Raw genomic sequence first — 24,238 nt, 5'->3', positions numbered from 1 at the left:
TAAACTTATTAAGAATGGATGATATTCCAAAGTAAAGATGACAAATAGAACATATGGATCTACCTTGTATTCTCCTGAATTCCCACTCACCAAATTTTGAAGCTCCAAAACAGATGGTAGCAAGTTTTGCATAGAAAATACACCCAACCAACCAAATGGAATACTAAACTGGCAGTGAGGAAAGCCTAGAAGCAGCACTGCTTATGCGGAGAACAATCAAAAGGCTCAGAAATTGGTGGCACCAGGAAGTGGGCATGAGTTGAAAGTCTATATATGGAAGTCGAAAACATGGAATATTGGTTGACAATCTTTTTAGTAGCTATTTAACTTAGATTTGTTTCCCCACTCTGCTTATACAGATAACTGCCCCTCTTAAACCCAGAGAAGGAAAAACAGAGGGTGTCCAAACTAGAAAATCCAACCAGTTAGGGACAGCGACACCATCCTAAAATGGGGGATTATGTAGGGGTCTGATCCCCACTCAGTTTCCAGAAGATTGGCAGCCAGGCAGGAGTTTGGAAGTTTTTTCATTGGGAATCTCATAGCATCACAGGAAAGACGGATACTGGCATTGAGGGTTTCTCAACAATATGACTTAGTCAGTACCTACAGTGAAATTCATAATGACCCAGATACCCACATACCTGGAATTCCCAATCATATTGCTTCTGTACCAGCTATCTGGCCAAAGCCTCAAATATTCAAGAGAGAGCCCAAAACAAACTAAAAGAAAAAAATAACAACTTGGTGGAAACATAGTTTTACTATTAGAAAAACTTCACAAAGGCTATTATTAATATTTTCAGTGAGAAAATATTAGTAAGAAAAGATATTGCAACCTTGAAACAAGGAAGAATATATTATAAATGAAATATTCAGAGCAAAGGTACCTTAGAAATTAATAATAAAATTTAAATTTAGAAACTTCAATAGAATATGTGAAACACAAAGTTGAGGAAATTTGATCATTAATGTTGAGCTAAAGAAAAAAGAATTAGAAAACGGGAGAGAAAAGACAAGAAAATTAGGAGAACAATCCAGGAGGTCCAACATTCAAATAATAAAATATCTAAAAATAGAGAAAGGAGAAAATAAAGGAAGGAAATAGTAACAAAATAATTTAAGTTCTTGAATACAAGTAAATACATTAAAGATGTTCAACATCATAAGTCAGGAAAACACAAGACAAACTCACTATCAGATACAACTAAACATCCAATATAATAAAAAAAAAAGGCAGAAAATAACAAGTGTTGCCAAGTGTAAATAAAATTGGCACCCCTATACACTGCTGGTTGGATTGTAAAATGGTGCATCCACTTTGGAAAATAGTTTGGCAGTCCCTCAAAAGCTGAAAGATAGAGTTATAAGATGATCAGCAATACCACTCCTAGATATATGCACAAAAGAATTGAAAGAAGATAAACAAATGCACGTACACAAATGTTCATAGCAGCACTATTCACAACAGCCAAAAGGCGAAAAGAAACCCCACATGTACAGTAATTGATGAATAAATAGATAAAATGTATATCCAAAGTATGGAATATTACTCAGTCTTAAGGAAGTATGAAGTACTGAGAAAAGCTACAACATGGATGAACTTCAAAAACATTATGCTAAGTCAAAGAAGACAATGACAAAGGGTCACATATTATTATGATTCCATTTATATGAGATGTCAGGCAAATCTATCGAGACATACAGTAGATCGGTGGTTCAGGAGCAGGGGGTTAGTGGTGAATTCAGAGTGAATGCTAATGGATATGGGATTCTCTTTAGGGTAATGAATTGTAAAATTAGGTTGTAGTAATGGTTCCACAACGTTGTGAATAGGCTCAAAACCGCTGAATTGTGTACTTTTAAAAAGCAAACTTTGTTACATGAATTGTATCGTAATAAAGCTACTGCATTACACACATTAAAAAAAGGATGAGGCCGGGCGCGGTGGCTCACGCCTGTAATCCCAGCACTTTGGGAGGCCGAGGCGGATGGATCATGAGGTCAGGAGATCGAGACCATCCTGGCTAACAAGGTGAAACCCCGTCTCTACTAAAAATACAAAAAATTAGCCGGGCACGGTGGCGGGCGCCTGTAGTCCCAGCTACTGGGGAGGCTGAGGCAGGAGAATGGCGTGAACCCGGGAAGCGGAGCTTGCAGTGAGCCGAGATTGCGCCACTGCAGTCCGCAGTCCGGCCTGGGCGACAGAGCGAGACTCCGTCTCAAAAAAAAAAAAAAAAAAAAAAAAAAAAAAAAAAAAGGATGAAAGGACATGAGATTCCAGATTGAAAAAGTACACCCAATGAGCATAAAGCTGAACCTTGGTTTCTTTTTCACTTTATCATAAAATTTCAGGACACTAGAAATAAAGAGAAATAGCTTAACAGAAACAATGGAACTGAAAAATGGAGCAATCTTACTGAAATTCGAATGGAATTATTTCCAAGCAAGAATTCTACATCTAGCCAAAATGTCAATCAAGCATGAGCACCGAATAAAGATATTTTCAAAAATACAATGCCTCAACAACAACAAAAATCTCGCACACACCCTTTCCCAGGAAGCTATTAGAAATTGTCTTCCTCAAGACAAAACCACATAAGATGAAGACAAAAGAGCTCCAGCTCAGGGAAGAGGGGAAGGGCATGCCTGGAAATCAGGAAAGATACACCAGGCAGATGCTCTGGGAGGCCCTGAATTAATAACAGAAATGAAAAACAGAAAATTAATATTAATTCCAGAGAAACAGAGAGGAAAAAGTAGTCACAGTACACTATGTGTCTTGGCTACAAAGATTTATATTAACATGCTAATATAAATATCAAATTCTGAATTCTGATATAATCAAAATTATGACTACACTGGGAGGATGGGAGACTGGGAGGGTGGCAGGAAAAGGTGAGTACGTTTGTTTTGAAGTGGAGGAATGAGAAAAAAAACCAAATTCTCGCTTTGCATTGTAGGAATCAGTAGATTATGCCAAAGATGAATAATCAATAAGTGAAAATAAATGAGTTTTATTAGATATTTAAAGAGAAACTGAAAGAATCAGCTAAAAAAGTGGAAAGTTGAAGGTAAAAACTGCTGTTTTTTCATAAGAAACCTGGAACTAATTGACTTAATCTAAATACATACATAACTTGCATAAAAGCAAAAATCACATCAACAAAAATGAATAATTTATAGGGTGGCCTAATATTCCTTTACCAAAGTATAGAATGCACATTAAACTAAACCATTATGTGATATTAACTAAGTATTCATAAAATGGAAGAAAAAGTAAAATTAAAAACACTAAATAGAATGCAAGAAGTGGTCATTTTCATGACAGGCATTTACTAACTTACTTTAAAAATTTGTGAAGTTATAGCCACCAGTTTTGTATGATATATAATAATGTATACTTTCACACTTACAACTGAATTTGCTAGTGATTTTTTCATCAATTACTTAATGACCTATTCAGACTTAATGTGAAGGTAACTGGAATTATTGATCATCTTCATCCTGATCTTGGGTACTTACATCAGGTGGCAACTTTTGTACCTTAGCTGGAGCTTTCTCTAATCTCTCCAAGCTGATAATTATTGTCAGTCTTATTACATTCAATGTATTACTCTCGTGCCTCCACCCACCCCCTGAATCATGCAGTTTTCCAGGAGTATTGTTTTCTTAAGACATATGGCCATAATTCCTGTGAGAAAATTTTTAAAAAAAATTAACATGAGAAATATATACTTTTCTTTCCAAAGGAATTATCTTTTTATTACTGTTTTATCTTTTCTGTGATTTCTCTACCATTAAATATCATAGTTTAAGTGGTGAAATTCTAAGATAAACTGAGGAACAAGAATTAAAATATTATAAAAATCAGATGCATACTGTATTCTCATTAAAATAGTTTGATCTATGGTGGAATATACTCAGAACTGTGTGCTTTTGTGGATAGGCAGGCATTTACCATAGCAACAGTTGGAGATCAGAAACACTTCTATCTTAGACCATGTGAATTAAATACCAAATCATGATTATAAGTATCTAATAAGGAGAGCAATCACATAAAACTAGAATATAGAGATGATAGATATGATGTAAACAGGAAAAAAATTGATATCTCAGTACCCAACATGATAGTGGACAGTTAAAAATGACTAAAGGTAACCATCATTCCTTATTATTAGATGAGAAAAAGCCATTAGGGAAAAGGATAGAAAAGAAGTTAATTTATTTTGTCCTACCAATTACAGAAAATGAGAAGTTCCTAAGAGAGCACTGACTGAAAGCTAGCTTGTTTCCTTTTTATTTCTTTAATTTCTCCTTATGGTTCAGAATTCCTCCATCTTACACTGCCTGCACATTCAGTCATCCACAATGTTTACATCTGTTCGCATTCTGTACTTGGTTCTGAATGACAACCTCCCCTTCAGAATATAGAATCACAGTATTATACAGCATAACTAGTTCTCCATATATGAAACAAAAACCCTTCCATAAAGAAAAGCCTATGAGACAAATCTAGTTTTCCTATTGTTTACACTAAAACACAAATATGTTCTAGTACCATGACACCTATAGATGTGTGACAGCAATTTATAACTCAAATGGCTTATGGAGGTTTACCTCGTCTAAGATCACAGTTCTTCACATGACTTCAATCTCTTTAAAAACAAGGTCTATATATTTGTATCTCTAGAACTTAAGGATACTCCCTGGCACAGAGAAGACAGTCCGTATATGTTGGAGGGAAAAAAGTGAATGAATGAATACATAAATTATTAAGTGAATGACCATAATGAGCTGTGTTTCTGTTCCCCAAAATTATGTCACATGGGACACACTTATATATGCCAATTGTAAAACCTTGGGCAATCATTTGCTATGGAAACTTGTAGTTACCTGGATTCACACTCAACTCAGGAGATGATATGATGTAGCCACTGGAAACGGCATGCACGAAGTATCTGACATCTTAGCCTAAATTTCCTCATCTGCAAAATGAAGGGACCTTACATCTACGTCATGGTATCAGTTGGCAGCACATAACCTAAATTACATATCTCAATGTCATGCATGTAATACAGGTTAGGAACCCTTTCTACAATATTCCTGATGTGAATCTAGTCATCCTCTATTTGAATGCTTTTAGCAATAAGGTGCTCATTATATTTCAAAGAAGTGAACATAATTTACAGAAAACACATAATTGAGCATTCTTCTAAGAATTAAGCCAAAGCCAGCCTTCCCCAAATTCTCACACTTGACTTCCTTACCCCATCTAGAATATATACACTACCTTTTTCTCTCCTCTCTTGGTATGTCTTTAATTCTCCTGAATAATTTTGGCATCTTATTGGAGCTCCTCTGTGCATACTCCCATACACCAAAGAAATCACTAGTCTTTTTTTACATGGATTGTTTTAAGTTACCTTTCCTCCACCCCATTTTTCTGTATTAGGTTGGGATGCTTTCTTTTTTTAAAACCAAATATACCGTTTTACTTATCCCCATGATAATTCACCTTGTAGGTTAGGCTCATCATTTTATTATATTCTTTTCTGATCCTTGATTCTATCACCCTAAGTGTTAATTATACTTCCCAGCTATGACACAAATAGGTCCAGCATATCACCACCACTATCTGAGTCATTAATAAAAATATCAAATAGAACAAGGACAAGGACAATGCCCTCCAGCACACCCCGACAGACTTTTCTCCATGATGATGTCAATTCATTGATCAACATGCTTTGGACAAAGTGGTTCAACCAGAGATAAGACTGGAAAAAAAATAATGATCTCCTAACAACTAGATTTCTATTCTTGTTTTAAATATCTCATAAATATCTCAAACTAGTTCACTAGTCTGTTGAAATCAGGAAATAACAAAGAGAATGAAGATCATTAGACCCTAATGTCTAAAAATTTATTTTAAATTTCACCAATGTTCTATATGAAGCTTATATTTCTGTAGACTCAGATTTGTCCCCCATCACCCTTTAAAAACCAGCATTACTTTTGCCCATCTCCATTCTTGATGATTTCCCAAACATTATAAACAATGGTTCCATGAATATACCACCTGCCAATTCTTTTTACATTCTAGATTTACCTTATCTGGGACTAGATAATGAATCTAGTGGACGTTTATGAGGTGTCTTTTTCTCCTTAGGGCATGGTGGAAAAGCAGGGAAAAACGGAAGTATGCCCTGTATCCGAATGTATTCCCTAAGTTGGGAAAGGTTCTGATTTTATGAATTTTTTTAAACTTTTATTTTAAGCTTGGGGTACACGTGCAAGTTTGTTATACAGGTAAGCTTGTGTAATGGGGGTTTGCTATACAAATTATTTCATCACCTAGGTGTTAAGCCTAGTATCCATTAGTTATTTTTCCTCATCCTCTCCCTTCTCCCAGCCTCCACCCTCTGGCACACCCCAGTGTGTGTTGTTCCCCTCTATGTGTCCATGTGTTCTCATCATTTAGCTCCCACTTATAAGTCAGAACATGCAGTATTTGGTTTTCTATTCCTGTGTTAGTTTGCTAAGGATAATGGCCTCCAGCTCCATACATGTTCCTGCAAAGGACATGATCTCTTTGTTATGACTGCATAGTATTCCACAGTGTATATGTATCACAATTTCTTTCTGCAGTCAATGGTATTTTATGAATCTTGACAGGAAACAGGACCCACCTGCCATTAGAATAGCCAAAATGCTAGATACTCACTTTCTTATGGTCCTGTGCAGTCAAAACATGGGCTTGAAACTTCATCTCAGCCAACAAACACAATCAATCCTGGCTTAGCATTACGAGCTAACAGTCCAAAGAAGCAATGATAATGTAGGATGTTCCCATTTTGGCAACATTGGCAAAGATAGGCAAGGCCAGCAAAGCAAGAGACAATGTCCAGCCCCAACACTCATGGTGGCAGCAGGGTGCTTAGTGGACAGTGCCATGGCATGATTTTGGCTCTGGTCTGGCTATCCAGTCTCATGCTGTTCCTGCCCACTTTTAAAGTCTTCCCAACAGGTGTGTCGGCCACACAATGTATATCCAGAATCCAACCATTTCTCTTCACCTCTTCTGCAGACATCATCTCATGTTTAGATCTTATTGCAATAGCCTCCTGACTGGTCTCTTGATTCTTAACTTCCCCACCCTTGGTCCATTCTTAAGAAAGCAGCCAGAGATCCAATAAAATATGAGTCAGATCAAATAATTTCTCTGCTCAACACCCTTTGGAGGCTTCCCATCTCATTCTGAGTCAAAGCCAAACTCAGTACAGCCAAACCTTTCAAAGCCCACAGAATCTGAATGCCATTGCATCTCAAACCTTGTCTCTTCCTATTGTCATCCTTGCTAGCTCCCTGCAAGCCACAGCCCTGCTGTTCCTCAGACAAGCTTTCTGCCTAGAATGCTCTTCCTCTAAAAATATGTGCATCTCCCTCTTTCATCTCCTTCAGATTTTTACCTAAACACTTCTCAGCAAGCCCTCCCTGATCACCCTCAATTAAAGTTGCATGTGTGCATACCTATGCACATACATCTATCTCAGAGGAAAGCAGAAAAATGTTCAATTGCTCAAGGACTGCTTAATCTGGAAAGCAAAATATTGATAGAGAGCTACAGTTTTTCAAGAACAGATGTGGCATAAAATCATGCAAATCACAGCATTCTTCACAGATTTAAACATCAAAATGTATGAGGCAGAGAAACCAAATAATTAAGTAAATTCTGTAGCAAGTTGAAAAGACAGTATGTAATTTTCAGCTTCCTGTCCCATCTTCTAACATCATACATACCTTAGACCATCATATAAAACTCTAGGAAGGTAATAACACAGGTAAGTTGCAGGTTAAAATGGAGTAACTGGCATCTTTAGGCACAGAAGACTTGAGCTAAAGTCATATCTTTACCATTTTAACTTGGCTAAATCATTTGTCAATCTGCTTTAAATTCTCTAAGCATTATTTTTCCTCATCGATAAAATACTTCATAAAAATAACATGCTACCTACAACTCAAAGAGCTGAGGGTGGCATCTAATAAAATAACATCTATAAGAGTGCTTTGTAGAATGTACAACACTATAAAAACATTTTATGGGCTTTATGATTTCTATTGATACAGTTTTGTTTTCATGTGAAATACAATATTTTTGTTTTATATAATGTTATACATTAGTTTAGGCTATTTCACTAGTTTATAGCACAATAGGAACAAAATGATTATCCCTAACAATATCATGATTAGCTTTGAGTTTGTTGCTTTTCTTTGTTTCACAGCTTTATTGAGGTATGACTGATATGCAAATGACTGTATATACTTAATGTATACAATCTGAGGAGTTTGGACATATGCATGCACCCATAATACCATCACCACAATCAAGGCAATCAAGTTAATAAATATATCCATTACTCCATTAATGTGTGTGTATGTATGTGTATGTGTGTGTGTGTGTATATATATATAGTGTGTATATATACATATATATGTAATATATATGTATAATAAAGGCAAAATGACACAAGGAAACTTGTGGAGTAATGGATATGTTTATTACCTTAACTGTCTTGATTGTGGTGATGGTATTATGGGTGAATGCATATATATAAATAGTTTGTTTGTTTTTTAGAGACAAATTCTTGCTCTGCCATCCAGAGTCCAGTCTAGTGGTACAATTGTAGCTCATTACAGTCTTGCACTCTTGGACTCAAGCATCCTTCCACCTCAGCCTCCAGAGCAGCTAAGACTGCAGGCACATGCCACCAGCCTGGGTAATTTTTTTTTTTTAATTTTATGTAGAGACAAGGTCTTACTATGTTGCCCAGGCTGGTCTCAAATTCCTGGCCTCAAGCAATCCGCCCACCTCCACTTTCCAAAGTGCTGGGATCACAGGATTGAGCCACTGTGTCCAACCTTGCTTTTATATTTCTGATGGTAAGAATGCTTAACATAAAAATCTACTCTACTACCAAAATTGTAAGTGCACAATATCATATTGTTAAACCATGTGCACTATGGTGTGCGGTAGCTCTCTGCAACTTACGACTGAAACTTTTATCATCCATCTTGTATCCACCCCCCTCCAAAAAAAACCTGAAACTTTATACCCACTGAACAACTCCCTATTTTCCCCTCCTCCTTATTCCCTGGTAATCACAATTCTATTTTGATTTCTACTTGTACACAATTATTAAATATGTAATGAAAAATGCTGCTACACATGCTTTGCTCTTATGTAATTTAAAAGAGAACAGTTATTAGCTTAATGGCAATATATATTTAAATAATCATGTTTGCTATCAGCATTCTTATTTTCACTGATGGGATCTGTTTTAAATTTTTCAGCATGGTGTTAAATAGGTTAATGCGGCACTTATTTGTCTTTGGCAAAGAAAATAAAAACTAAATTGCTTAACTTTCTGTTTAAGTAGAAGAAAAATTTGTTAGAACTTTCACAACTAAATATATTCGGGAGTCAATGATTCTCAACTACATTTTCTACCTTTCTCTTCCAAGTCTTAAACCTGTATAGGGAAAAAAGACAGCTATAATAATATTTTAGACCATTATGAACGAGATTCCTTTTCAAGCTAACTGAGCGACTCCTTGGTTTAAGGTGTTCCTTCATGTTTGACATATTAGACCCAACTGCCTGGGTCTGTCTTACAAACTACAAGACCTTGGAAATAACTGTACTCAAAACCATGCATCAGAGGGGCCCACATGTTACCCAATAGCAACATGAGCAACTTAAGGAGCACATTTCCTAAGGGGTTCCCAACCTTGCAGCTTCCAGATCGTAGTATCTACAGACTTTGTAACTGTATAAGAATCTAAATTACAGAACACTTTAGGTCTGTAAAGCTTTTCCTATTAAAAGAAAGCCTACACCAACAATATCCTATTAGCCGCTAAACCACTTTAATAATGACCTTCAAAGTCATTTCCTTGAGTATTCTTTCACATCACTAAATTTTTACCACTTATTTCATTATTCTGGCCTTCAGAAGGCTTTTATAAAACCTAAAATGTCATTCATGGCAACAATATAAAGCAACTAGGCTTACAGTTCTCCTTTAAAGCCAAAAAAAGAAATACATTTGTAGTATGTACATATTATAAATAAGAATCCTTCACTTGGTAAAACTTGAATTACATAGGTATCTCAAAAAGCCCTTGAAAACTTCATTGTGAAATCAAAAGGAAAAATACAATAGTATCTAATGAATCTTAAATTATTTTACTTTCCCGTCATATCCAGGGTTTTAATGGGCATGGGGTATTGGTTTTTTCTACTGTTTAACTTACAATGGTATCTCCCTCAAAAAAGGGTACAATGAATTAATTACACAGAACTACAAAATCAACATTGTTTAGAAAATATCTTTGATGTTAATAATTCTGAAATACAGCAACATTATCATTAAGTTTTAGAAATTTTAAATTAAACTGATACTGATTTTAGAACTTGCTAACAAAGTTCTGTGTGTGTGTGTGTGTGTGTGTGTGTGTGTGTGTGTGTGTATGTGTATGTGTGTGTATTTCAGAAGACCCTAGTGGCATATATGTGACAATACTATAACTTACAAGTTTGCTTTATGGAAACTAAAAACACATTTTGTAATTGAAATAAGAGTTTAAATGGACAGGTTTTTGGCCAATCTACAAAACTTATTCAAACTATAAAGCAGTTTCACTGTTTTTAGGACTTATCTGCACTCAGGATATTAAGTGTAGAATAAAGGAAGGTTATGGAAAGAAAGAAGAAAGTTTTCTTTTCCTCTTCTGACCAAAGACCTAGGCTAACTAAAATTGATAAAAATAAACAGGAGCTATAACAGTCCAATTAGGATGGGCCTGGGTCTATCTTACAAACTACAAGACCTTGGAAATAACTGCTTCATCTCCCTAACCTTTAGGTTTTTCCTTTGCAAAATGATGGTATTTACAGTTCCATGAGGCTGTTGAGAGCACCAAAAGTGACAATGAATGTAAAGCCCTCCGTACAGTGCTCAGCATAAAACTGTAAATTTCAGCTGTTGGGTTTTATTATTGTGGCCATATTTGTCTTAAACATTCTTTTGCCTCTCTTTCTGTGGCCCTCACTCATTCATCCCAAGCCCACAGTGCCCTCCTGTTTCCTACCTTATGCCGCTCACTAATATCTGCTCTAATTTCCAAGGCACTTAATGTTTAATAATTATTATTGCCTTTCCACTGCTTCAAAACATGCAAGAAGAGTAGAGTTTATTTCTGCTAGACACTGTGAGGAAAGCAATCTGATTAAAACCATCCATTAAGGTATGTAAGAACCTTAATTTTTCTTGAGATATCCAAATATTTACAAAGAACAAGCAATTGGAAACTTGTGTTAAGGAAATAAAAACTTTAGGTAATATTCAGGGAAGTTATTTTTGAACTGGGCAATTGCCAAATAGACTAATCGTGCTGAGAAATCTACACCTTCCCACCCTAAATGAGAAGACTATCCCTAAGAAATTTCTACAAACTGAAGCGGTTCTTTTCACCAAAGGCTGATTTCAGGAATTCAACTAAACATCTTTTACTAAAAATGCACAAAAATCAAACTTCACATATAGCAGCAAAAAAGCAAAATGTTAGAAAATGATGAGAACAGGAAAAGATAGAAAAAGAAAGGTAGAAAGGAAAAAGGCAAAGAAGCAGTGTAAAAGTAAGGCAACACAGGTAGACAGGTCAATAGAAGCAGAGGCAGGGCAATCATAAGCCAAAAATGACCCAAGTTGGCCTCAATCTCTAAAAGAGACAAGAGTAATCTATATGATGTACGAACTCCATGGAGAAGTTGGGAACAAAATGTTACTCTAGATACTGCATGTGCCCATATTATTAAGTGGTTGATTTAAAAGCACATGGGATGTCTCCATAAGAATTGGACTAGGGAAAATTTTACTCACACAAAGAAAAGTGATTATGTTTAAAAGTCAGTCTTTATCAGTAAATAATGCAGGGTAGTGAATTTATTTCCTTTTATTTGGCAACAACATAAATACAAAATCGTCAAATGACACTTGATCCAATATGTACATTTTAGCCCCATAAATATATTCCATTATTTTTTAAGATTTAGAGGACATATTTTCACATTACTTTTATTAGTTTCTTTACCAATGTTACTGATTTTGGTGCACAAGCTACTTTCCTTCCTTTTAATTATCTAATTTGAGGGACAGAATAAGTACATTTTTGAAATCTCTTTTCTACAAAACACTGTAAAAGTCAAGCATAGTAAAGAAAATCTAGATTTAACTGAAATATGTAAACTAGACATACTTAAAAGTATGAATCAAAAGTTCCAAGTCTAAATCAGCTGGAATACATTATTAACTCAAAAATCATGGATTAAACAAAAGAAATTATGTTTGCATTGATGTGTGAATCTGCATCCATTCTTGGTACCACATAATATATGCAACTGCTCAGCTCTAGCTGTCCTTGCAGTCACATTACCATATTATTCAAATGTATCTATCATTTATATGTAAATAGACAAGATAAACGGCTTCTTCATAAGACAATTTTCAAATGACAGACACAGGCAGACATAAGCAAAATAAAAATGTTGCAAATATTCATTCTTTTTTTTTTTAAGGAAAAATGGAAAGTACTTCAAATTTTTTAAAAAGTAGTGTGGTAATTACAAAATGGGGTCCTAATACACTGACAATACCAACAACTATTCTAAATAAATGTCTGCACCGATGTCATTTGTGTCTTATAAATTACATGTTCTTAGATCCATCTGTGAAAATTGGGATGTTAATTATCATAGTTACATTTCACGATTCCACAGTTAAATGCTGAAGTAGTGCTACACAAATACCATGTTTTTTAAGAGAAATGGAGAAGAATTAATTATGAGTTCAAGTCCAAGTCTTCTAGCAATAATACTCTCACATAAGAAGATCATTACATTGTGTACTATGCAATTGGAAGTTCTAATTAATAGCTGAAATACCAAGTGAGGGGGAAAACTTTGAAGTCTAAATTGTATCAGGCTTTCCTACACACACACACACAAACACACACACACACACACACACACACATATCTTAATAAGCATGCTTTTGAGAAACCAAGTTACAAATCCAAAAATAAAAAACCATTCTTATTGCCTATGAGTTTTCTTTGATAATGATCACCATCAGGCTGTTGAATCCTATGTAATAAACCTAAAAATTACAATGTATCCTAGTAACAAATAGGTTATAAATAGATAACATATCTGATAAAAATTCAAGTTAACATTTTTCTGGGTTTTTCTTTTAAGATACATATCATTCAATAATCTCTTATAGGGCCTTTATTTTATACAAAATTATAATTCTCATGTATTCAGATAAAATATTAACTTCAGTACAGCAATCTAAAAACGAAATTCTATGACAACACTATAAGAATTTCATTCATATTTTAAATGTCTAAATTTAAAAGTCTTATTTTACTTACCACATATTCAAACACAAGTGTCAGCGTCTCCTTGGTATGGATGATGTCATGAAGTAGCACTATGTTAGCATGTTTTAGTCCTTTTAAAAGAGAAGCTGTAAAACAAAATGGACAGAGAAACAATTTATCGTGGATAACAATCAACTAATATATACCATTATAATTTTGGCACACTGTCAGATGAGAGATATCTATTTTCACATGTTCCAAGTCAATAACAATTCAAAATGAAGGGTAGAAAAACAAGACTTTTTTTGAGATGGGGTCTCACTATGCTGCCCAGGCTGGTCTCAAACTCCTGGGTTCAAGTGATCCTCGTTCTTCAGCCTCCTGACAAGCTGGGATTACAGGTGTATAACACAGTGCCTGGCCAGAAAAACAAGGTTTTCATTCAGATAAAACTTCTTTCAGTTATTTTACCTGTCATCTGTTATTAATCTCTAGTTAGGTTTCATTATGATCAGGGAAAATACTTGGTATGATTCCAATTCTTTAAATTTGTATAGTTTATTATCCAGAATATGGTTTATCTTGGTATACATTCCATAGGTATGGAACCTGAATTCTGCTGATGTTGGGTGGGGAGTTCTATAAATGTCAATTTGATCCTATTATTTAATAGTATCATTGAGTTCTTCTATTAATATATCCTTACTAATTTTCTGAATAGTGGTTCTATGAACTACTGAGAGAGGCATATTGGCATCCTCAACTGTAATGGTGGATCTGTCAATTACTCATTTGAGTTCTGCTTGTTTTTGCTTTTTGTATTATAAAAGTTGTTTACTGAATACATGTTTAGGATTGGTATGTCTTCTTTGAGAATTGACCGTTTTATCAATAAGTAATGTCCTCTTTACTCCTAGTAAATTTCTTTGTTCTGAAGTCCCCTTTGTATAGGCATCCACCATTCTCTTGATTAGCATTTACCCATCCTTTTCTTTTCAGTCCTACTGATATCACACAGTTGAAGTTTCTTGTAGACAGTATATGGTTTGGTCATATTTTTAATGCATTTTGCCAATCTCTGACTTTTCATTTTGATGTTTAGACCATTTACATTCAATGTAAATATTAATATGTTGGGTTACCACCTGCCATTTTAATCTGATTTTCCTTTAGGTACCTTGCAATTTAGTCTTCACTTCTGATTTGATTTTTTCTTTTCTTCTATTCTTGCCAGAAGTTCAATTAACTCTAATTTTATTTCATTTTATTTTTTGTCCATTTCTCTACTTAGCTTTTGTACTTCTAACTAAAGGTAGGCTTGTTTGTTTCATACACCAAAAAGCATGAATTCAAATATTCAATTCATATTTCAGTGTTATGCACAGTTTTAATTTTACAGTTGACTTATTGCAAGAGTTTTTGCAACCAAAATGCACTAATCCCTATTTTCAATGTTTGAGAGTCGTTTTGGGTAGATGTGGGCTACTTTATTCTATTCCTATTTATTTAATGAACGAACTGGTTCCTAATCTGAGAGTCTTTTTTTCTGTCACCTTTGCCCTCTTCTATGTACTTTTTACAGCTGGCACTGGGAGACGAAAGAAGAAGGGTTTGGGTTGTCTTGTTTCTTTTTCATTTCCACAGGATCCTTAATTTCTCCCTTTTCCTTCCTTCTTTACTTTCACTATCCTGTCTTAACAGGTACCACCGTTTGACTCTCCCCTAGAGGCAATGCTTTCCAACAGCTGCCAATTCCAGTCACTTTCAGCCTCCTTTATTGCATCCAGTGCTGTGAATGAACTACACAGCATCCCAGTTTTGTCTTTCTGGAATAATTTTGCTTGTGATTTGATTAAGTCCTCCACACCCCTGTACTGTTTTTCACAGCTTCTTAAGCCTCTATCAGCTTCCCCTGTGTCACTCTTTGCTATCACAGGCTTGTTGCTGTCTCTTAATGCTCTTGAAGGTATGAGTTGTCTGTTTTTATTTGTTCTCCTTGTTGGATTTATGACTTTTGGAGGAGTATGAGTGGGAAGATTCAAGATCAGAAAGGCATCATTAATTGTCCTCCAAACCCCTTCTCCCATAGGAACAGTAATCTTTTTTTTCCCCCATTGATATATCTTGCTCCTGGATCAAGGTCTAAAGCATAGTAAGAACTCAACAAGTTTACTGAATGTCATGCATCTGGGGTCCTCAGGGGTTGGGGTGGCTATTCTGAATAAGAAGAGCCTGCTGCCACCTAGTAGCTCTTCCTCAAGTTTGACCAATCTTCCTTTGACTCTGAGACTAGCACTACGCCCAAACCTCTGGCTGATAAAACTCAGTTTCCACACAGGGCCTCTGGGTATCTACTCCTCTAAAAACCCAGAGAGGACCAGCTGCTAATGCTAGCAATTTCAAGACCTTGACAAGGAATAGCTGGCTTTACCTCTTAAACTGCACTCCTTCCTCAATGCAAGCCTCCTTTCCTTTGATTGAAAAAAGGAATGAGACGCGGCCAGGCGTGGTGGCTCATGCATGTAATCCCAGCACTTTGGGAGGCCGAGCGGGGTGGATCACAAGGTCAAGAGATTGAGACCATCCTGATCAACATGGTGAAACCCCGCCTCTACTAAAAATACAAAATTAGCTAGGTGTGGTGGCACGTGCCTGTAATCCCAGCTACTTGGGAGGCTGAGGCAGGAGAATCACTTGAACCTGGGAGGTGGAGGTTGCAGTGAGCTGAGATCACACCACTGCAGTCCAGCCTGGCAACATAGTGAGACTCTATCTCAAAAAAAAAAAAAAAAAAAGGAATGAGACACATCACATCCCCATAATCAGATTCTTTGCAACACTGCTCATCTTAAAGAAATTTTAGATTAAGATTTATGTTTATAAATAATACCACAAAAGACGTGACTGGGCACTTAGTTTTCCGCCTTTTGGATTATCTCCTTATAATAATTGTGAAAAATAGAATTATGGGGTCAAATGATATAAATATATTTACAAAATATTATTTATTAAATTTAGGTGGTGAATTTAGTCTTACATCTTTCTAACTCTGTGTAAGAATAAAAGAACTGTGAAAGACAGGGGAAAATGTTAAAAAAAAATTGTACAATGCAAGTAGCCCATCCTATCAAGTAACAGAAACCTTTATTAAATCAATATATGAGCATTTATACACTCATAAGCATGAGTATTAATTTGAGAATAAATTCTTCATACCTGAGTAAAAACAAAAATAATCAAAATTATTTCTCTTTACAGCAATGACAATTCAAGTAGAGTATTCAAAACACAGAAGTTTCCTCTTTACCATTACATTAAAAACATTATGTCTTCATTTTGGTTTTTTGTTAAGAACCTATAAAATCTGAAGAGAAAAAAAACAAAAAAACATTCTGCCTATATTCTATCAATAACTTGTAGTAATTCATTTATTAATCAAATATTTATTCAGAATCTAGTTGCTGACACTGGTGGCCCTGAGCAGGTCCTTGATCCCTTGGCAAATAATAATACAGCAAGGCCATATCTTTAAAGAGAGATTTACAACACCAAGAGTGAACTTTCATGTAAATGATGAAATTTGGGTAATGATGTGTTATTCCAAGTTCATTAACTGCAACAAATGTATCACACTGGTTGGGGATTCTGATAGCTGGGGAGGCTATGCATATGTGAAGGATGGAAAATATGTGGAAACTCTCTGTACTTTCCAATGAACTTTGCTATGAACCTAAACCTGCTCTAAAATGTAAAGTCTTTTAAAAAATAAAAGAGATTTACCCATGTTTTAACATATTAAAATAAATTTCAATTATTTAATATTTCACTAAAATAAAATAATATTTTAGATACACAATTACCATGCAAATGAGTCTGCACTGGACAGTCATCAGAGAAGGCAAAAATAAAGTACTTAGGACTTAGTAGTACACTAACTGTCAGTATTACCTCCACGAAGGTGAACTCGTGTTATCAGAACTATTGTTACTGCTATGAATTTCCATTGTCTTCCCCAAGCAAACCTGTTTCATAACAATATATTAAATCCTTAATCCAAATATAAACTTTTATAAACATATATTGGTCAAAAGAAGGCAGTCTGATAACTGATCGGTGGGGAAGGCAATAAGAAGGGTGTTCCCTCCGGAACTGAATCTGGAGCAACAATGTATATTCCCAGGCAAGAAAAGTAGACACTAACTATGGTAGAGAGGACTTCTCTTCTGCCCTACACATATCTGCCAGGAGAAACTTAGTTTTGCACACTAAAAACCTTATTGTAAAAATATCTACAGGCTTATTTTATCTGAGCTTTATAAACCAGCACTCAAGTGAGAAAGTAATTACAATAACAGTAAAATCACAGCACATTAACTTTGAAGAAACAATCACTATACATTTACCACAGAGTTTAGTATTGTTAATTCTAATAATTTACAATCTTCTTTCTTTCAATTATTCAACTAGCCCAGTAGCCTTAAGCAATTAAAACTTTATTAGGTAGCTAGCTTTCAGATATTAATCTGGGGATCGCATAGGCTCATTTTAAAAGTGATACTTGCTTCTGCACCAGTCTTCTGAGGTGCACACATCCTCAGAGATCATTATTTCAAACCACAGCAGGGTATTTTTAAATGATGGCAAGGTATGGTACATAACACCTAGCCTGCACGGGAACTTTTCAGATCAAATGAATTAAGGGCCCCTGAATATCATGTTGTAAGAAAGGCACATGGCTTTGTGAAGCAAGTTTTGGAAACATATTATTGAACATTATTTGCAATCTTGTCAAATTCCATTTTTCAAGTTAATACCTCAGGTTGTCAAATTCAGAGATGATCCATCCTTATTGGCAACAACTCCATAAAGGTATTAAAGCTTCCACTTCAGTGAGAATCTCATACCCAGAGGACGCTTTGACACAGGATTTTCTTTAACCGTTTTCCCCCAATTACTGCCTTTCTTCTCTTACCACTTACACCTAAATTGTTTCTCACTTCTCAAAGTAATATCTTCACACCCATCATTTCCTACTGTGTTTGTCCCACAATTTCAGTAAAATCAAATTCCTGCCAACATTCATCTTAAGAAGAAAATGTTTTTTCTTGAAAGTGACTAATATTATAGAAAAGCATCAAGTCATTTTTCATATTATATTTTTGACCACTTAGATGAAACCTGAAAGCCTCCACATTACATCCTAATAAATCTCAATAATTATGACAGATTTTAGATTTCAAAACATATTTATATAAACTTTTGAAACACACTGTCAGTTAAATAAATACCAACATCTGAATTTGAAACAAGCCCTCTTGCTTTTAAGATTAACATAATGAATTCATACTTGGAAAAGCACAGAGCCACTAATTTCAAAGCTGATGGCAGAAAAATGGCATTAATGGACAGAAAACAGCCTACGATATGTACCAACATCACGGTAGGTGACAGACATGACTAACTTTGAGGCTGCCAAAGGCAGCAGCCACTGGTCCCAGTGAGGTGCCAGATACTACAGTTCCTGCTGTTAGCAAGGCAAGGGAGTCTCCTAGCTGCCAAGTCAGTCCAGAGATTAACACCTACAAGTTCTAGAGCCAGTGTGTCTCCCTCATCAAGACAAGCACTGTCAAAATCATACTCCATGTAATCCTAATAATATCATAAACACAAGACATGTTATTCTGTCATTGTTTATCTACAAAAATCCTGTAACATTAGCATTAGTAATTCAAGCATCCTTGGTTTCATCATAAATTTTAGGTAAACATATGGCAATGTTTTAAATTTATTTCACCAGTGAGATTTGAAAAGGTAAAATTGCACATGATGCAAAAGACTTGTAATTAGAATTAAGGGTGAAAATTATAACAATAGTTTAGGGGCTGTGGTGTCAAAACTATACAAAAACAGAAAAACATTTGCTCATAGAGGTAGCTGTGCTCTGACAAAGTCCCAGTAGGATAGAGGGATGCAAGGAGCCTTCCCTTAGGTTGGCAGAAGGATTCAGATTCATATTCGCAGCCATACTCAAACCTTGGCATCCCACTTTGAGAATAAACAACTTAATTTTTCACTCCAACTTGGAAGAAATGAATTTCATCCAAACTCTAGTCCCATCATGATTAAAATAAATTTTGAGATAATACAGAAAATCAGAGTAAGTTCATTTTATCAGATACCCACTGTAGTGGTGTGTTTTTTTTTTCCAAAACCATTGTTAATAAAGGGGAAAAAAACCTTTAATATTTGAGATAATTTTCTAGATCATTATTTGATGTCCTACTAGGAAAAAAGAGATTACAAAGACACACAGCCCATCCGCCATCACTTCGCCTTTAGTCTCTGGGAGAAAAAAGACATTCACAGGCTCCTTTCATCTTATGTGTTCTTTCTCAGCAGAGTGGAGTAGAGGGATTGCTGCCTGACTTTCCCAGAATGACTACTCATGAAACCTAAGGACCCAACTATATCTCAAGCTACAACCACAACAAACATCAACTTTTTTTTCAAGCCCACAGCTTGACAGCTTTAAGGCTGTTGAAATTTACTTTTACTACAAATAGTAAAACTACTTTTAACTACTAAGTTCCATCTCCCTTACTTGCCAGTGGAGTCTGAATATTTTCATAGCTAAAATATTCTGAGGGGAAATATAAAGAGGGGACTTAAAAATTGCATGCACAAAAGAGACAGGATTGCTTGTTTAACTGTCTGTAATGAGGAGACAGTCTAGCAGAGAAAGAACATGTGCGTACGCTGAGCACTGATACGCAGCTCCGGGTTAGTGCATTCATGGTTCTATAATGCATGCTGCCTGCTTGGCCTAAACACTGGAAGAGCAATGATAAACACTGTGACTGTGATCAATCTGGACCTTCTCCTTAGTGATATCTAATACAATAAACACTCCACACACAGAACCATAAACTAATGAATGAAAAAATAGAGGAATAGGGCTAAAAAATAGAATTAAATGTTGGACCCCATATTTGCTTTTTATTCTTTATACACACATATGTACAAAGAGTCAACTGTGGGTTATGGAGGAAAGAGGTCATAGCCAACTCTAAACGTAAGGTTAAAATAAATGTGGTGTCATGTAATCCTTAATTTAGCTAAAATCACATTCAGGATTTAGAGATGTTTTTTGTTCACCAGATGTCATCCAAAATTGGAAAGGTAATACAACAGGTTAGGAATACTTTTAAAATATCATGTAAGTTGTTTTATATCTACGAAAAGGTGTACTGTTTTCACTTGCTTCTTAAGAGTTTTTCAGTTTGGAGATGGGCAAAAATTCAATCCCACTACACACTTCTCTTGCTCTGCTTCTCTCTAATTTCCCTAACATCATAGAACTGAAATGTGATATTGGAAATTACAGCCTAAACCATTTCCCCCTTCCTTAGCATCGATACCTATTTATCTGTCACCTGACTACTGGCAAAGAGCGGTGAGATACAGGCTACTTCCACATTGTGGACTCACATGCCCACATCAACTGGTTACTAAATCACTGTAAAGAACACACTCCTCTAATACTACAGCTTGACCACATGAAACTGCCAATATTTGACATTTTTTACCTACTAACACAGCAATTGTACGTGGTTCAACCTAGTAGAATTTACCTGGTTCAAAGCATTTAAATTTTTTCACAAATGTATTGTTATTTTTACCAACATTAATATTCAAACCAGTTAATCTGCTACCAAATCACCACCAATTGACTGCATTTTTAAAAAGGAATAATCTATTCATCAAATTATAGTTATAGCTGAGAAGAGATATAGAAATAATTTAATATCCTACATATATCTTTCTGCATCATTTGAATTGTTTATGATAAAGATATATTGCTTTTATACTAAAAAGGAGATATCTGGAAAAGTTTTTATTACAAGTGAATTTGCTAAAGAACTGAAACAACACTATTAAATAAAAAGCATACAGGTGTTTATACAATATGGAACTATAATACAATAATGAATCATTATAACTGCAGTAATATTCTTCACTTCTAATCCCTCCTCACTTGGATACTGGTGGAAATATGTATATTAAGGATCTCTTTTTCTATCCTGGTACACTGTAGACCCTGTATCAGCCTGTAATTTGCTCTCATATCACATATTAATCTAACATGTTAAATCTGTTTCTTTTCTAAATAGTTACTTTCCTGCATTAAAATTTACTCAGTGCAAAACATTTTCAATCTTGCTGTCTCCATTCACTGCTAGTTCAACCTGTAAATGACCCTCTTCTGCTGTTCCATGCTCTAGTTAATCTTGGTCCTATTTGTGATGGGAAAGATCCAAACAAATGCAGGTACTACATAAATGCTAGACATGTGGCTCTTCTTAAATGCAAACATCTTGCTAGTAACTTCTGGGGAAAGGAAATGTACTTAGCAACAAGGATGGGAATGGTGTTGATTATAATCCAGGTACTGTCTTCAGGAGGAAAAGAGACAATTTAGGGACTGAGGGTTTCTGCAAGACCTGATAACAGGTTTTTTATTTTTTAATCTTGGTCTGGCCATAAAAACTAGGTTTAAAAGCCGTTAGGCAGTTTGCTTCATTTTAACTATTTTATACTTTATTACACATGGGTTACATGTACAGTTAACAAGAGCACTACAAAGTATGTGATTGAAAAAAAAAAAAAGATGAGTGGTTTCGCACCAAGCCCCTTATGTTTTCTGGTTAAGAAGAATAACCATTCATATCATATTAGCTATTACTATTTGACTAGATTTGTATTTACGTATATTTTATTTATGTATTTATTTAGAGGCAGGGTCTTGCTCTATTGCCCAGGCTGGAGTGCAAGGTGTAATCACAGCTCATTGCAGCCTCAACCTCCCAGGCTCAAGTGATCCTCCTGAGCAGCTGGGACCACAGGCACCTGCCGCCACCCCTGGCTAATGTTTTGTTGTTGTTGTTGTTGTTTGTTTGTTTCTAGTTATTTGTAGAGATGAGGTTTTGCTATGTTGTTCAGGCTGGTCTCGAATTCCCGCACTCAAGTGATTCTTCCACCTTGGCCTCCCAAAGTGCTGGGATTACAGGCATGATACACTGTGCCTGACCTTGCTGTCTGAATAGATTTAAATCAACCTCTCTTTAAATGAATGTATGTGAATAGCTATTGTTGTATGCTTTTACACATAAGATTTACACATCTGTATCTTCTACAGATAAGTTTAAAGTCAGAAAACATCTCCTTTGCCATGGCTACAAGTCCCAGCACCCAAAGGCACATAAGATACTCAACTTTGTAAGACTGTGGTCAAGAGGTAAAGCACTGTCAGACTCCTCCACAAAACAAGGTAGTTCTGCAGCATATTCTTAAGCAAATTAGAACCCACCTCCCTTTATGGAGAAACAGACCATTCACCATTCGCAACAGCCGCAGCTCCAGGCTCATCATGCAGTGCTTCTCAAAGTATGGCCCTCCAACCAACTACATCAAAGTCAACTGGTGTGCCTGATACCAATGCAGATTCATGGAGTCCTATCCCAAAGCTACCAAATATAAGTTTATAAGGATGGAACCCACGAATCACCCAATACATATTTATTTAACATCTACTACATGCCAACCACAAGGCACTGGAGATAAAACAGAGGTAACACAGACAAAAAACTCTTGTTCTCATGAAGCTTATATTCCATATTTCAACCAAACTGTCCATTTAACATTTACACATCCTAAAGTTTAAAAATCACTGTGCTATGGCTCTCACAGAGGGAGAGGGGTAGCATGTTTATGGTGTGTGTGAGTGTGTGTGTGTGTTTGTGTGTTTACGTATTTAGTTACACTTCAACCTACTTGCTGCTCTACAAGCATATCAACAGAAACAGCTAAGTCAGTCCCTCAGTTCATGTATCTAGTGTCTGTCTTTGTCTTTTCTTCCTTGGGTTTCCCCTCTCTCACACACAAAGCTACTGAGGTAGATTCTACTGAAAGTGATAGTCTTGAGCTAGAAGGCAAAGGAAATTCTTCATTCTGAAAATTTGATGGTATTTTGATGTGTGCAGTTTTTTCCCGTTCAGTTGAAAAGCCCAAAAAATGTCAGCCAACAAAGTTTTTCATTATTAATGAACTGTTGATAAGGTCGTAATTATATGGCCTTTCCAATCCCACTACAATTCTAAAATCTGTGAAAGAGTAAGATTTGCTGTAAATTACCTTAGAACCAGTGCTTTGATAAACATATACAATCAGCAGATCTGATCATAATGAAAACAGATTATGAGCACAGAAGGAAGAGAAAGAAAAGACCATAAAAAATGAATACAGATTTTGGTTGGAGCTGAATTAAAATTTCAAACATACCACTACTTCATTTGACTGAAACAAAGTCAAAGCTGAAAAAACTACAAAGTACAGCACAGTTCATTGGAAGGCCCACAGTCCCAGAGCCTGTGTTACCCAAAGTGTCAGTTCACCTTCAGGCAGTCATCCTCCTAGGCCTGGACAAGCCTTAAAATCCCTCAGGCTGACTCTACTCAGCAGTGGCCTTGTGAGCACCTAAGTTCACCTCAGCCCTGAGCGAGCTCTGCCACTTACATGAATGTCACTAATACACTGAGTCCCAATTTGCTTCTCTATCACTTGTACCTGTCCTCCTTGTCAGTATCCGGTAATGCTCGGCTGCTAATAACCGTGCTTGGCCAATGCTAGCATCACTCAAATGTTCGGGGTGTTTATGAGATATTTAATCTAAGAAAAGGCACTAAGGCCTTCCAACCATATGGTGGCAAAGACTGGGGAGTCCCAGCCTCTGAGTGGG

The 24,238-nt window shown here is 35.8% G+C and overlaps 1 protein-coding gene across 4 annotated transcripts in view; it reads right to left on the bottom strand.

Annotated features, from left to right (window-relative positions):
- The window catches only part of CDK14 (cyclin dependent kinase 14), a 614,270-nt gene that overhangs the window by 333,827 nt on the left and 256,205 nt on the right, over nt 1-24,238 (bottom strand). For all 4 annotated transcript variants that reach the window (NM_001287135.2, NM_012395.3, NM_001287136.1 and 1 more), the window contains one exon: nt 13,495-13,589. In NM_001287135.2, coding sequence (NP_001274064.1) covers nt 13,495-13,589 — 95 coding nt within the window. The remainder of the gene's footprint in view (nt 1-13,494; nt 13,590-24,238) is intronic.

The sequence above is a fragment of the Homo sapiens genome, chromosome 7 (assembly GCF_000001405.40).
Source record: "Homo sapiens chromosome 7, GRCh38.p14 Primary Assembly".
NCBI lineage: Eukaryota > Metazoa > Chordata > Mammalia > Primates > Hominidae > Homo > Homo sapiens.
The sequence above is the reverse complement of the archived record's forward strand: the minus strand, read 5'-3'. Positions and strand labels throughout refer to the sequence as shown.